The sequence below is a fragment of the Homo sapiens genome, chromosome 8 (assembly GCF_000001405.40).
Source record: "Homo sapiens chromosome 8, GRCh38.p14 Primary Assembly".
Lineage (NCBI taxonomy): Eukaryota > Metazoa > Chordata > Mammalia > Primates > Hominidae > Homo > Homo sapiens.
Window position 1 is genome coordinate 143,597,425 of NC_000008.11, and position 14,299 is coordinate 143,611,723.

General features: G+C 62.3%; 2 protein-coding genes across 4 annotated transcripts, besides 1 other annotated feature; one reads left to right on the forward strand and one right to left on the reverse strand.

The window, feature by feature from the left end:
* The first annotated feature begins 406 nt into the window (after positions 1–406).
* On the forward strand, positions 407–5,800 carry TIGD5 (tigger transposable element derived 5). Its single transcript, NM_032862.5, has one exon. The coding sequence runs from the start codon at positions 480–482 to the stop codon at positions 2,406–2,408; it is 1,929 nt and encodes a 642-aa protein (NP_116251.4). The 5' UTR covers positions 407–479; the 3' UTR covers positions 2,409–5,800.
* PYCR3 (pyrroline-5-carboxylate reductase 3) lies at positions 5,786–12,151 on the reverse strand. 3 transcript variants are annotated; one of them, NR_138144.3, is made up of 7 exons: positions 12,034–12,151; positions 11,340–11,452; positions 10,638–10,702; positions 9,529–9,708; positions 9,043–9,255; positions 8,638–8,730; positions 5,786–8,458 (listed from the first exon to the last, which is right to left on the reverse strand). NR_138144.3 is itself a non-coding variant. In NM_001329866.3 (6 exons), exons 1-6 carry the CDS (start codon positions 12,122–12,124, stop codon positions 8,276–8,278), a joined length of 765 nt encoding a protein of 254 aa, NP_001316795.2. In that variant the 5' UTR covers positions 12,125–12,151; the 3' UTR covers positions 5,786–8,275. The 3 variants fall into 3 exon arrangements, 2 of the variants coding, with proteins under 2 accessions (NP_001316795.2, NP_075566.3); NM_001329866.3 differs by lacking the exon at positions 11,340–11,452 and having other exon boundaries at positions 9,043–9,195; NM_023078.6 differs by lacking the exon at positions 11,340–11,452.
* Positions 13,259–13,758: an enhancer, noted in NCBI's record as "H3K4me1 hESC enhancer chr8:144692853-144693352 (GRCh37/hg19 assembly coordinates)". NCBI's record gives its function as "activates a minimal SCP1, AML or CMV promoter by ChIP-STARR-seq in naive H9 embryonic stem cells {active_cell/tissue: H9 hESC(naive)}" and the evidence as "EXISTENCE:reporter gene assay evidence [ECO:0000049][PMID:30033119]".

A 14,299-nucleotide genomic window follows, 5' to 3' on the forward strand; every position in this document is an offset into this window, starting at 1 on the left:
GGCCGCGCACGGGAAATGAAGCACTGGGCTCTACCAAGAGCCACGGGCCGGGGGCCCGGGGGGGGGACGCGACCCTTGCACACGCCCCGCCTGGCCGCCAGGACCCTCGACGCGCCGTGCCCCGACACTTCAAAGGCAGAATTCCGTTGGAGATGACCGCGGAGGCCGCTCTTCCCCGGAGGAGTCTGCACAAGTGCTGGGAACGGGCGGCAGCGCGCGCGCCCCCCCTGCGCTTCGCGGCCAGTGGTGTCGCCGGTGGGGGCGGGTCCGGCAGCCGGCAAGCGCCGAGTGACGCACGAGGCGGCCAGCGCGCAGGCGCGGGGCGGGGCCGGGCCGGGCTAGGTCAGCGCGCGTGCGCCCGCCAAGCTGCGGGACAAAGGGGAGGGACCCGTGCGGCCCCGCCCCCGAGTGCCCCGCCCCGAGCGGCTGGGCGTGTGGCTCCCGCGACCCGCGCGGCCCGGGTCCCCCCCGCCGCAGCCATGTACCCCGCGGGCCCCCCGGCCGGCCCGGTACCGCGCCGCGGCCGCCGTCCCCTGCCCGGGCCCCCCGCGCCCGCCCCAGCCCCCGTCCCCGCTGCACGGCCGCCGCCCCCCGCGCCCGGGCCGCGGCCCCGCGTGGCCGTGAAGATGGCCTTCCGCAAGGCCTACTCCATCAAGGACAAGCTGCAGGCCATCGAGCGCGTCAAGGGCGGCGAGCGGCAGGCCAGTGTGTGCCGCGACTTCGGCGTGCCGGGCGGGACGCTGCGCGGCTGGCTCAAGGACGAGCCCAAGCTGCGCTGGTTCCTGGAGCAGCTGGGCGGTGAGGTGGGCACTCAGCGCAAGAAGATGCGGCTGGCCAACGAGGAGGAGATCGACCGCGCCGTGTACGCCTGGTTCCTGGCGCTGCGCCAGCACGGGGTGCCGCTGTCTGGCCCGCTCATCCAGGCGCAGGCCGAGGCCTTCGCGCGCCAGATCTACGGGCCCGAGTGCACCTTCAAGGCCAGCCACGGCTGGTTCTGGCGCTGGCAGAAGCGCCACGGCATCTCCAGCCAGCGCTTCTACGGCGAGGCCGGGCCCCCAGCCCCGAGCCCCGCGCCCGGCCCGCCCGTCAAGGAGGAGCCCGCGCTGCCCTCCGGCGCCGGCCCCCTGCCCGACCGCGCCCCGGCCCCGCCGCCCCCGGCCGAGGGCGGCTACGGGGACGAGCAGATTTACAGCGCCAGCGTCACCGGCCTCTACTGGAAGCTGCTTCCGGAGCAGGCTGCGCCCCCGGGCGCAGGGGACCCCGGGGCGGGGGGCTGTGGCCGGCGCTGGCGGGGCGACCGCGTAACGGTGCTGCTGGCCGCAAACCTGACCGGCAGCCACAAGCTGAAGCCGCTGGTCATCGGGCGGCTGCCGGACCCGCCCAGCCTGCGCCACCACAACCAGGACAAGTTCCCGGCCTCCTACCGCTACAGCCCCGACGCCTGGCTCAGCCGCCCGCTGCTGCGGGGCTGGTTCTTTGAGGAATTTGTCCCAGGCGTCAAACGCTACCTGCGCCGAAGCTGCCTGCAGCAGAAGGCCGTGCTGCTGGTGGCCCACCCGCCCTGCCCAAGCCCAGCTGCCAGTATGCCCGCCCTGGACAGCGAGGATGCCCCCGTGCGGTGCAGGCCGGAGCCCCTCGGTCCCCCGGAGGAGCTGCAGACACCGGATGGCGCTGTGCGGGTGCTGTTCCTGTCCAAAGGCAGCAGCCGGGCACATATCCCCGCACCGCTGGAGCAGGGCGTGGTGGCCGCCTTCAAACAGCTGTACAAGCGCGAGCTGCTGCGACTGGCTGTGTCCTGCGCCAGCGGCTCCCCGCTGGACTTCATGCGCAGCTTCATGCTCAAGGACATGCTCTACCTGGCTGGCCTCTCCTGGGACCTGGTGCAGGCGGGCAGCATTGAGCGCTGCTGGCTGCTGGGCCTGCGGGCTGCCTTCGAGCCCCGGCCCGGCGAGGACAGTGCTGGGCAGCCGGCCCAGGCCGAGGAAGCCGCCGAGCACAGCAGGGTGCTCAGCGACCTCACCCACCTGGCGGCTCTGGCCTACAAGTGCCTGGCTCCGGAGGAGGTTGCGGAGTGGCTGCACCTGGACGATGATGGGGGTCCGCCCGAGGGCTGCAGGGAGGAGGTGGGCCCAGCCCTGCCCCCTGCAGCGCCTCCGGCCCCAGCCAGTCTGCCCTCTGCCATGGGGGGCGGAGAGGACGAGGAGGAGGCCACCGACTATGGAGGGACCTCAGTGCCGACTGCCGGGGAGGCCGTGCGGGGGCTAGAAACAGCTCTGCGGTGGCTGGAGAACCAGGACCCCAGAGAGGTGGGGCCACTGAGGCTGGTGCAGTTGCGCTCACTCATCAGCATGGCCCGGAGGCTGGGGGGCATCGGGCATACCCCAGCAGGCCCCTATGACGGTGTGTGACCAGGCCAGCCCAGTGACCTTTCTCCTGCTGCACTTGGAGGGAGGGGACATACACACAGTCTCCCATCTCTCCTCCCCTCCCCCTGGGGTGGCCCACCGCATGGGTACAGGGGGTTCCAGGAATCCAAATCCAGCATGGCTTGGAGGAGCTCTGTTGGTGAGAGGTCGCCCTGCCTCACTGGCACCCTGGGGGCACAGCTGGAAGAGAGGCCTGGCCCATGCTCCTCTCAGGGCAGGCACATGTACGGGGCATACAAGGCACAGCGCCTGTTGGAACAGGTGGCTGTGTTCCTGCTCTGGCCCCCGTGGGGCTGGGCCTCCGCCCCTGCACCAGTCACATGCACTGGACGAGGGCCGAAACTCCTGTCTGCTATCGAGCCCTGGTGCTATGTGGCCCCGGAGCCACAGCACAATCATCTCAGTGGCGAAGCACACCACTTGATTCTATTTTTTTTTAACACATTAAATCTGTTTTTAAAGATACTCTTCAGAGGGGCCGTGAGAACAGGGGCCGGGTGGGCTGGTCTCGGGCCGCCCTGCGGTTTCTCTGGAGGTCAGAGGCCCCAGGTACTGGAGCATCACTGTGGAGTGGGAGGGGTGGAGCCCTGTATTAGGTTCTGGGTGCAGCAGGGAGGTGTAGAGTTCCGTTTCCTTGGATTTTTAGTTTTCCCTAAGAAAACTGAACAGATCTCTTATTCCGTGGGATTGGCAGCTGCCTGGCTTTGGGCCCTGGTGACTTGGCCAACGGCAGGAGAGTTTCCCCTGCTTCCTCATCAGCCACAGACCATTCTGTCCAGTCCCAGGGCCTGGAGCCACCTGACTTACCTGGAAGCAGGCCCTGGCATTAGCCCCCAGGGCAATACGCAGTGCCACCCTCTGTGGGCTCTCCTCCCCACCCTCAGACTTTTCTGCCTCTCCTGGGACTGCCAAGGATGTGGCTGACAAGCTGCTCCTGGGAGGCCTACTTTGAAAGGAGGAAAGGGCCCCAGGGCCTGTCAAACCCTGGTTCTGTTCTGCTCTGGCCAGGTCTAGACCTACAGTCCTTCTGGTTGGACTGGGGCCAGGGATGCCCATGCCTCCTCAGGTAGGGTGGGAACTGCCTTTGCAGAGATGCTGCCCGAGCTGGTGTGAGGGGCAGGGAGCTGGCCTGCTTGCCTCCAGGTGTTGACCCCTCGTCCCCATCTGCCCCCAGTGTCCTCCTAGGAGAGGGAACCTTGAAAACCCAGAGTTGTGGAGTGCAGGGGTAGGCTGGAGGCCTGCACGGGGAAGGGAAGGGCTGTGCACCAGCTTGGCAGTGGGGCAGCTGGAGGGTGTCCCCCAAAAGTGACCTTTATACAGGTCCAGGAACAAACAGTTCCTTGGAACTGCCCGCAAGTGAAGAAATATATACATATATATGTATATATCTATATCTCAAAATCTGAGAGCTCAGGGAGGCCGTGGAAATTTGGGGAAGAAGAAACAGACTCCCTGAGCAGAGCTCAGGGCAGCAGCTCCAGGCATGCCTGCTGAGCCCATCAGGCCACCGCCACCTGCAGGAAGAGCCTCTGGCCTGAACTGCTGGGGATGGGCTGCAGAAAGCCTGAGACATTTGGGCCAGCACCTTCCCAGGGGCACAGGCCCCCAAGGCGGGGACACCACCTCTGCTCTGCCAGGCCTGCCTCCAGGGCTCTGAGGAGAAGCTGACTTCACGGCCGCGGTGCCAGTGAGGGCTGCATAGCCAGGCCTTGTCTGTAGTCTGGGCGGCCCGTGGCGCTGCCCTTCAGCCCAACTACTCATTGCCGCTGCGTCTTTGGCGAGGCTTTCATTTCCAACCTTTCTTCCCATCTCAGCCCTTTTGTTGGCCCGGGTCCCAGGAGGCTGGTGTCGGTGAGGGCAGGCCCGCTCCTCTCATCGGGGTGGCTGTGGCCTGTCCCCCAGTCCCTCAATGGCCACTTTCTATAAACAAGGCAGCACTAATTTTTGCTATAAGATAAAAGAGGCCAGGCACGTTGGCTCACACCTGTCATCCCAGCACTTTGGGAGGCTGAGGCGGGTGGATCACCTGAGATTGGGAGTTCGAGACCAGCCTGGCCAACATGGTGAAAACCCCGTCTCTACTAAAAATACAAAAATTAGCTGGGCGTGGTGGCAGGTGCCTGTAACCCTAGCTACTCAGGAGGCTGAGGCACGAGAAATGCTTGAAGCCAGAAGGCAGAGATTGCAGTGAGCCAAGATCACAACACCGCGCTCCAGTCTGCGCGACAGAGCGAGACTCTGTCTCAAAAAAAAAAAAAAAAAAGTGCAGGTGCACGCTGGTGGGGACATTAGGAGCCTGTCAAGAGTGGGTCTGCCTGCTGGCACTTACTAGACGGGAAATACCCCCTAAAGAGGGCTTAAAAAGCATCTTCTCCCTAGCACGGGGCATGCTGGCACAGGGTGCTGTGTGACAGAGGCTTGGCCGCTGGGCCCCGCTGCTGAGAAGGCTGCTCTGCCCATGCCTGGCCCTGTGGGCAGTGCCAGCCATGGATCCCTGAGACCCTGGGCTGGAACCTGGGGCCCCGTCCCAGCCCTACCTGCAGCTCACTAACCCTCTCTGGGTTCTGCTCAGTGTCTGAAGTGATGGAAAGACCCCAGGGTTGGTGGCTGTAGCGGCCCCCAGGGGTGGCAGAACCCTTTGGGAGGCCAAGTGTTCTTTCCCAAAGCTGCGCGGGTGCCATCGCCTGCCAGGCCCTGGCTGTGGTGACAGACGTGGGCTGGGGTGAGGCTGCATCTGCTTCCTCTAACAGCCGTGGCTGCCTGCGGGCTCTGGCCTCCGCTCTGGCAGATTCTGCACATTCCCTGCAGGCGCAGGGGTGGGTGGGGGTGCCTGTGGCCTCGGAGGTACAGCCAGCTGTCCTCAGCTCAGATGGCCCCCAAGAGCCCCCAGCTCCTGTTCACTGCTCTTCCAGTTAGTGACCCCCGTGTCAGCATCATTGTCAGAGTTCCTGGGCTTGTGGGGGCTGGAGAAGGGAAGGCGCTGAGGAGGGAAAGATGAGTGCAGGTTTTGTTGAAACCACCCGACCCGCGTTTTCAGGGGGACGAGGCCACTGCCTTGGCCCAAGGACCTGCAGGCTTGGGGGACCCCCTCGATGTCCACTGGGCTGCGGATGAAACATCACACTGTGGTAGGAAAGGAAGGGGAGCACCCCCAGACGGGGGGGTCCTGCAGAGACCCCAACCCCTTACCTACCTAGTTGAGACACCCATGGGGAGCAGCCCCAACAGCATGTCGGAGTCCCTAGGCTTGTGGGGTCATGCTCTGTTGAGGGCCCTTCCTCTAACTGGCGAGCTTGTTTACAGCTGAGCTCGCCTGGTCAGATGGGCCCAGTGGCTTTATCTAATAAAGGCTGGACATGTCCACTTCATGAGCATCCCTGTTTTGAAGTCTTATTTTTAAACTCTTGATCCAACGCTTGGATCAGGAATACCCCCTAGATTAACAGTTGGGGCATAGGGCATAAAAGTGGAACATTGATCAAAGATACCGTAATCATATCCATCGTTTTCTGTCTTGAAGAACAGTTTTCACCTGGAAGTAGAAGGCACAGGGGAGGCCTGGCTCACCACAACGCTCCCTGCCGTGCCGAGAACTGAGCCCGTGTCTTTGTCACAGGCCCTCACCAGCTGGGCCAGGAGTGGCTGGCTTGGGATCTCCACCTCCCGAGCTGAGCTCACCTAGTGCCCAGGGCTTGTCAGAGGTCCCAGGGGGAGACAGGTGTTGGTGCAAAGTCAATGATTTCTCCTTGCAGATGGGCTTGGTGTGAATGCAGGTGGCCGTCAGAAGGGCTGTCCACCTTCCTTCAGGGGGCCGCCTGCACCAGACCCCAGGCTCCCAGGCCTGCCCAGGCTTGGCATACAGTCCCCTGGGGTGACAGCGTGCAGGGGAAACTGCAATTCCATGCCCTACAAAGCCCCCAGGTGATGTAGAGGCCTGTAGCAGGCATGGGGAGACCTCTGCTGTCCACAGTGCCAGCACCCCCTTCGGCTGACACCTGTGCTTGACCAAGGTTCCAGGCCTCAACTTATGGGGCAGGCATTGGACCTTCTTTTTTTTTTTTTCCAAGACAGAGTCTTGCTGTCACCCAGGCTGGAGTGCAGTGGCATGATCTTGGCTCTCTGCAATCTCCGCCTCCTGGATTCAAGCAATTCTCCTGCCTCAGCCTCCCAAGTAGCTGGGATTACAGGCACGCACCACCACATCCAGCTAATTTTGTATTTTTAGTAGAGATGGGGTTTCTCCATGTTGGTCAGGTTGGTCTCAAACTCCTGACTTTGTGATCTGCCCGCCTCGGCCTCCCAAAGTGCTGGAATTACAGATGTGAGCCACTGGGCCCAGCCCAGAACTTGGTTTTATCCACCTCTGGTGAAACATGAGCTCACTTGGTGCTCTCTGGCCTCTTTATTCCCATCTCCTTAGGCTGACCCTGACAAGTGCCAGGGCCAGGCTTGGACCAAGCAGTCAACTGAGTCAGCCTGCCCTGGGAACCAGGCAGGGGAGGGAGCTTACGGACGGGCTAGGCTCAGGAGAGTAAGAGAGAGCAGATGAAGGGCAGAAGTCCGTGGCCGCAGAGGCAGCTGAGCATGAGGGATGGAGCGTGCTGCTGTCCTGCAGGTGCCGTTAGCCCTGTTTTGCACTGGTGGATTGATCTGCTCAGGCGCACAGGGAGATGGCACAGCAGGACCCGCCGCCCAGCCTCGCTGAGGGCATGCTCCCGCCTCACCTCCAGAGGCTGTTGGGCGGAAGCCGAGAGCTGCAGCAGTTGGGGCCAGCGTGGGACTGGAGGCCCAGGTGAATCTTGTGGGGCAGGGGACGGAGCTGAGGCTGTCCGGCCCGGGCCCTCCCCACCCAAAGGCCCTAGAACCCTAGCCTTCAATCCTGGGGGTTTGCTTCTCCCCTGAGTCCTGGCTTTCCTGACCTGCCGTCCGTTAGGGACAGGTGGAGGGGCCAAGTCTTGCCATCAGAGGCCAGTGTGGTGGTGCCAGAGCTACGGGGTATTCCAGGACCCCTGACCTAGGCACGGGGCAGGAGGGCCCAGAGCCACCTGGCCACTTGTCAGGAGCTTAGGATTGGGAGGAAAGAGGGAGCCTGTATCCAGACTAAAGCCAGGGGTCTGCATGTGTCCTGGCTGGCCAGGGCCACCCTCCCAGACCTCAAGCCACCCCACCTACCACTGCCCACCTGGTGCCACCCCAGCACTGCCGCAGACCTGGCCCAGCAGCTCCTGCTCCTTAGCAGGGGATGAGCACGCCCACCACAGCCACCCTCTTCTCCAGGCTGCAGGGCAGGCTCCAGCTCCCCATGGGGGCCCCATCAGGCCAGGGCCCCTGGCTTTACTGCAGGGGAGAGGGTCTCTTGTGCAGACCCCATATGGCTCGTGCCCCCTAGAGCTGAGATGAGGCAGCCGGCCTGGCTGTAGCTGCACGGAGCCACCTGGAAAGCCAAAGGCAAGCTCCAGCTCCAGACCAGGCATTGGGCCAGCCGTGCCTGTTACCGTAAGTTCTGTTCATGGCCTCAACCAACTGCCCAACCATGCGGGCAAATGACCAAGACGCCATCTCTTGGGCCCCTCAGAACCAATGTTGCAGCAAGGTGGGCTCACTGCAGCAAGGGGCAGAGCCACCACCACGGTGCCTTCTGCTCACTGGGGAGGGAGGAGTGTCCCCACTGGTCGGGGCTCCCCCGCCTGCTGGAACCTCCCAAGTCCTGCCCCCTGCATTTCCCTGTGCAAGGGGAGAAGGAGCAGTAGGAGACCCTCATGCAGGAGGGAGGGAGCCGCAGTCCTCAGGGGAAGGGACACAGGGAGAGGCAGGGGCACAGAGGCAGGAAAGGATGGCCAGAGCCCAGCCTACTTTCTGCTGAGCTCCTTGGCCCGGCAGGTGGCAGCCTCCACGGCGCTCATGGTGGCTGCTCGCAGCCCGCCCTGCTCCAGGGCGTGGAGTCCATAGATGGTGGTGCCACCCGGGGTGCACACGTCTGAGCGCAGCTGGGCTGGGTGTTGGCCCTCGTGCAGCAGCATCTTGGCCGTCCCCTGAGGAGAGCGTTAGGGCCTGGTGACGGGGGGAGGTGGTGCGGTCCCCACTGTGCGGCCTGCCCTCGTTGCATCCCCCAACCTTGGCCCCAGCTTCTCGAGCCTGCTGTTTCCCTGCGCACTGGAAGAGGTACAGGCCTGGGCCTTCCCGATGTTCCCCAGGGGCCACCCTCACTCACCAGCAGGGTCTGGGCAGCGATGCGGTGGGCCAGGCTGCTGGGCATGCCCATCTTGACGGCTCCTTCAGCCAGGGCCTCGGAGAATGCACACACCTGTAGCCGCGGCATGGTGGTTGGGGGGGATAGGTGTCAAAGCCTGGGGGCTCAGGACCTTCAGGAACAATGCCCAGAGCAGTAGCCGTGGGTGGCCAGAACCAAGGCCTGAGCCCAACGGTCTGCAAAGGGGCTGGCCTCAAAGATCCCCAAGGCAGTGAAGTCCCGGGGACAAGCAGAGCTCCCAGTGGGCCTGGGGAGCAACCACGCAGGCCTCAAGGTTGGACTCTGAGGGCAGAGGCTGTCAGAGGGACTGGGGTGGGCCCCCTCTTTGCCGAGGGTGGGGCCGGGGATGGACGAGGCAATACTCACGAAGGCCACGCCACTGCCACTGAGGCCAGTGTGGATGTCGACGTAGGCTTCAGGCACCTCCTCACACCGCCCACAGGCCTCCAGCAGATGCTGCAGGAGCTTGGTCTCGCTGCTCCCCACGTGGCGGCCCCGCGCCATCACTATGGCCCCTTCCTGGACCACACAGGGCAGGTTGGGCAAGACCCGCAGCACCCGTGTGTTTGGGGGCAGCAGCTGGCCAGAGAGAGGTCAGAATCAGGGAGTCTGTAGGACTGGGCCCTGCTGGGCAGGCCCCAGCAGGGGCCTCAGGAAAGGTCCACGTCAGCTCGCGGTGGGCTCCAGCGTCTGCCTCCCAGGTACAGCACCAGGAGGGAACCCTAAATCCAGCCACTTGATCCAGGTGGGCCACACGGCCACCTCTCAGGCTCTCTGGGGGGCTGCCTGCCGCCCAAGCCTGGCCAGCAGAGCCTATACTGGGACCAAGGCCTTAGCCCAAGGGACACTCACCTCCTCCAGGGTGCTCAGAGACACCCCAGCAGCCACGGACACCAAGATGTGTTCAGTGGTGACCACAGGAGCCACCTCTGCCAGGACAGCTGGCAGCACATGAGGCTTGGTGGCAAAGATGACGAGCAGGCAGCTCTGCAGCACCTCCTGGTTGGAGTGCGTGGTCCGGCAACCCAGAGCCTGCGCCAGGGACACCAGGACCAAGCCTCAGGGGCCATGTAAGCGGCGCACCCTCTCCATCACAGCCCTTCCTGCTGGATGCCACACGTTCCCATGGTCCCAGGGCCTCTCCCATTGCAAGTGTCTAGACCACCCCGACTTCTCCAGTGCCCAAGACTCCCCCAGACTAGCCCTACTCCTCACAGGCCATCCTGATGTCAGCGCCTCCCCAAGCCCTGAGCCCTCCATCCCCAGTGAATGTCTGTGACCACCACCCAGCATGCAAACACACCCATGCACATGCACGCACTCACGAGCATGCATTCATATACACACACGCAGACACATGCACTCACGAGCATACATACACATGTACACATGAATGCACTCATGAGCACAAACACATGCACACACACCCACTCGAGCATGCACTCATGTGTACACGCACGCACTCATACACGCACACACGCACTCATATACACATCTGCACAGGCACACATGCACAAGCACATACGTGCACTCACGACCACACAGGTGCACATGCACTCATGAGCATGCACTCATACACACACGCACACACATGCACTGACATACATGCACTCACCACACGTGCACACGCACACACAAGCGCACGTGCAAACGCACATGAGCACATACATACACACATGCACACGCATAGCCTCACATATACACACGTGCATATACACACACTCACGGACATGCACTCACACATGCATACACACACACACACAAACACTTTGCTTTGGCCCTCCACAACCTTACTTTCCTCCTGGCCTCTAATCTCCCTTTTCCCAGCCCAGACCAGCCAGTCTGCAAACTTCAGCTAAATAAACCACCCATCCCTGGCTCTGATAAGTGTCTTAGTGGGACAGGAGCCAAGAGCTATCCTGGGCTCCTGAGGGTATGAAGAACCTGGGCTCTATGCTCACTTGAAAGTGACATAGGTTCCTGTCTGTTGGTGCACTGGCCAGTATGTGCTGAGCTTCCACTTTTCCTGGAAAGAAAGGAAAAGGAAGAGGGGTTGGTGAAGGGGTGGGATAGGATGGCACGGAGAGGAGAGGGAGCTCACTTGGCCTCTCAGGCTCAGCCACGCCTGGCCCATCCTGGGCCCCCTCCTGGCCCCAGGAACCCAAAGCGGGATGCACCATTCACTGGGCCCAGGCAATCAGATCCACTGATTCTACTTGGCGGTCAACGCCCCTGACTGCTGCTGGGTATGGAGGCCAGGAGCTTACCTCATTGGTGAGGACACAGATCCCTGGGGCCTCTGCCTCCAGGGAAGGGAAGGCTGCCTGGAGCAGAAGAGGCAGTACCTCTGGAGGAACACCAGGCCTTGGGGGAATGTGGTGGGTACAAAGGCAGTTGATTGGCCACAGAAGGCCCAATCGGGGCCCAGGTTCTTCGAGAGGGAGAGTCTATGCTGGAATGTCTAAGAAAAGGCTAAATGCCTACTTGGTAGAAATTATCTGCTTTTGTCGGGTACGGGGTGGAAAGATTGGGTTAGATTTTGGTAAGGTCGAACAGGAAGGCACAAGTGTACACCACAACCTGAACACAGCAATTAATCATGACAGTGGCAGCCAAACACACCAGTACTAAGCTCAACACTAGACATTTATGTCTCATTTAACCTGTACAGCTCTGGGAGGCATGCGGTACTGCCAGGTTTCACAGGGAAGACTCCTGAGACTCATAGTAAGCTATTTCCCGATTGATCTTGACTCTTCTGGACCCTGAAGTATGGCTGAAGGCAGAGAGTCAAAAGTCACCCAGCTCTCCCTATCCACAATCTGCAGAGAGGCTTCTAAATGCCTGGAGGAGTATATGGTCAGCATAAATATTCCGGGTATAAAGCAGTGTTTCTCAACAGGGGATGATTTTGCCTGTCTCCTCCCCCCACCCAGGGGACATTCGGCAGTGTCTGGAGGCATTTTTGGCTGTCACAACGTGGGGGTGCTGCTGGCACAGGATGGATAGTCTGGCCCAGGTGTCCCTAGAGCCAAGGTGTCTGGGGGAGAAGCCCTGCTGCTCCCCATGAGAGGGGCTGGCGCGCAAAGAGAAAATCAGAGGCTGGAAGAGGTGAGCCTGGCCAAGGCCACGCGGCCAGGAAGCCGGCCACGGAAGCGGCACCTAGCCACGTGTGACTCAAATCTTCCCGCAGCCACGTCAAAAAAGTAAGAGCAAACAGGCGTGGCCCCGGCTGCGCCCAGCGGAGCGGAGACCCGGTTGGCTGGGCCCGCGCCCCCGGCCCCACTCTCGCGGCAGGACACCTCCCACGGGGCTGCTCCCACTCCAGACCGCAGGCCTAGCCCCGCGCCGCCCCACCTGCTCTGATGAGGCCCTGCGCGATGGCCCCCGCCATGCGGCCCGCGCCCACGAAGCCCACGCGCCGCGGAGACGGCTCCGCAGCTGCCATCTTGTTGCCTCGGACGCCGCTGCGCTCACCGCCCATCCACAGGCCGCGCCCCGCCCACAGATCTAGGCCCCACCCCCGCCCTCCAATAGGACTCGCCTCCCCGTCCCCACCCTCGCCGATTGGTTACTGGGACGGCACACTCCGGCCGGCTTTTTGTCCGCACTCTACAAGTTCGCAAGGCGCGGGAACCCCGCCTCTCGCTGCTTATTGGCCCGAAAGGGCTATGCCGCCCCTCACTGCCCATTGGCTGAGAGAAACTGGGGGCGGGGCCGTAAGGGGCGGGGCCGGCGGGGTACTCGCGCTCGGAGAGGCCGGAGGAGCGGGGAGGGGTCCCGGTCGCGCGTGCGAGGAGCACATGTTGGTTTTCCGGAGGGGAGGGGTAGCGAAGCGGGTTGCGGGGCTGGTCCAGAGCGTGCGGTCACTGAGGCCCCGCCGACCACAGACGGTGGAGCTGCGGGGAAGCACTAGGGGCGGAGACCCAGGTCACGGAGAGCAGGCCAGGGCCAGGGGCCTGAGACCGACGGAGGGGACAGTCGGGGAGGGGGTACTCGTCACTTTTAATGACACAAGGAAAACAAGGCTTGAAGATCTGAGTGCGGTTTTTTCATCATCCAATCTAAAGCTGCATGTTACATATGTTATTTTCTTTTGAAGCCTTTGACATTTTCTTTTTTCTTTTTTTTGAGACGGAGTCTCGCTCTGTCGCCCAGGCTGGAGTGCAGTGGCGCCATCTGGGCTCGCTGCAAGCTCCGTCTCCCGGGTTCACGCCATTCTCCTGCCTCAGCCTCCCAAGTAGCTGGGACTATAGGCGACCGCCACCACGCCCGGCTTATTTTTTTGTATTTTTAGTAGAGATGGGGTTTCACCTTGTTAGCCAGGATGGTCTCAATCTCCTGACCTCGTGATCCACCTGCCTCGGCCTCCCAAAGTGCTGGGATTACAGGCGTGAGCCACCGTGCCGGCCCAAGCCTTTGACATTTTCTAAGCTCTTCAGTAATGAAATCCTCTCATTGATTCAACATTCACTGTGCAGCTGCAGCCTCTGGGCCCTGCTCTGGGCCTGGGCAAGATCACCCCACGGCAGCAGATGGGACAGGCTGGACCCCACCCTGCAGCCCTGCTTGGTGGCAGTGTAGACAGACTACAGTCAGCACACACGCAGGACAGCCAGTGTGTCAAGGCTCTGAAGCAAATGAGGTGGAAAGGGACAGAAAGCCACCAGGAGGCTGCTTCGGCCACTGCAGCCGAGAAACGTGGGTGGTGGACACTTTGCACCAGCACACAGCGTCAGCAGCTGTATCTCCTGCCACCTCGGATCCTCCCAGCCCCTTCCCACAGACTCCCTGGATTTTCTCCCAGGCCCCCTGGGCCAGTGATGGCTCAGGACCAAGGCTGTGGGGAGGTGAGAGGGGCCAGAGGCATCCAGTGCCATGCCATCATACATAAGGACAAAGCTCATCATAAACAAGTGGACTGAGGCGAGGTGAAGGAGGATTGCTGGCTGAGTGCCCAGGGCCACAGTGGGTAAAAGGAGGCCCAGGGGCCCAGCCCCGTTCAGCTTCTCCGTCCCATGCCGGGCTGGGCTTCTGAGCATCAGCTGGGAGCCCTCAGCTGACGTGGACACCCAGCCAGCCAAGGCTTGTGTCCAGGGCACCTCTCTGCTCTTGGCTGGGCTTCTTCCCACTGTTCACCTGGTGGATCCAAGCAGCCACATAGGCGCCACCCTCTCCAGGAGGCCTTTCCTGAACCCCCACATGGGCAGAGCCTTTATCCACAAAGGGCTGGGGCCAGGGGATACACTGTGAACGAGGCCAACCCGTCTCCTGGAGCTCGAGGTCCTGGGGTGTCAGCGGGAGGGTTAGGGGTTGAGGCGGGGCTCCCAGAGGTTTCCAGACAAACAATCCCAGCAGGGCAGGGTGGATGCTCCGAGAGGCGCTGTGAAGGTGCCATCAGGGAAGGTGTTTTGGAGGCTGGGCCACCTCAGCTGAGGCCTAAAAGGTAGGGAGGCCTTGACCCAAGAGGGGGCCAGTCTCAGGGGAGGCCTGGAGGACACCTCGGCTTGCTGGACACAAAGGGACAGTGAGAGATGAGGTGAGCGGTTGGCTGGGTGCAGGACACACCGGTCTGGACTCAGTGCCGGGACAGGGAGGACACATCACCGCTGCCGGAATGAAC

Excerpts from the sequence above, each read along its gene's own strand:
- TIGD5 (NM_032862.5), top strand. The coding sequence starts at position 480 with ATGTACCCCGCGGGCCCCCCGGCCGGCCCGGTACCGCGCCGCGGCCGC.
- PYCR3 (NM_023078.6), bottom strand. The coding sequence starts at position 12,124 with ATGGCAGCTGCGGAGCCGTCTCCGCGGCGCGTGGGCTTCGTGGGCGCG. Across the intron at positions 9,709-10,637 it reads GGAACCTATGTCACTTTCAA|GCTCTGGGTTGCCGGACCAC; the intron begins GTGAGCATAGAG and ends TCCCTGGCGCAG. Across the intron at positions 8,731-9,042 it reads GTGGCAGTGGCGTGGCCTTC|GTGTGTGCATTCTCCGAGGC; the intron begins GTGAGTATTGCC and ends CCGCGGCTACAG.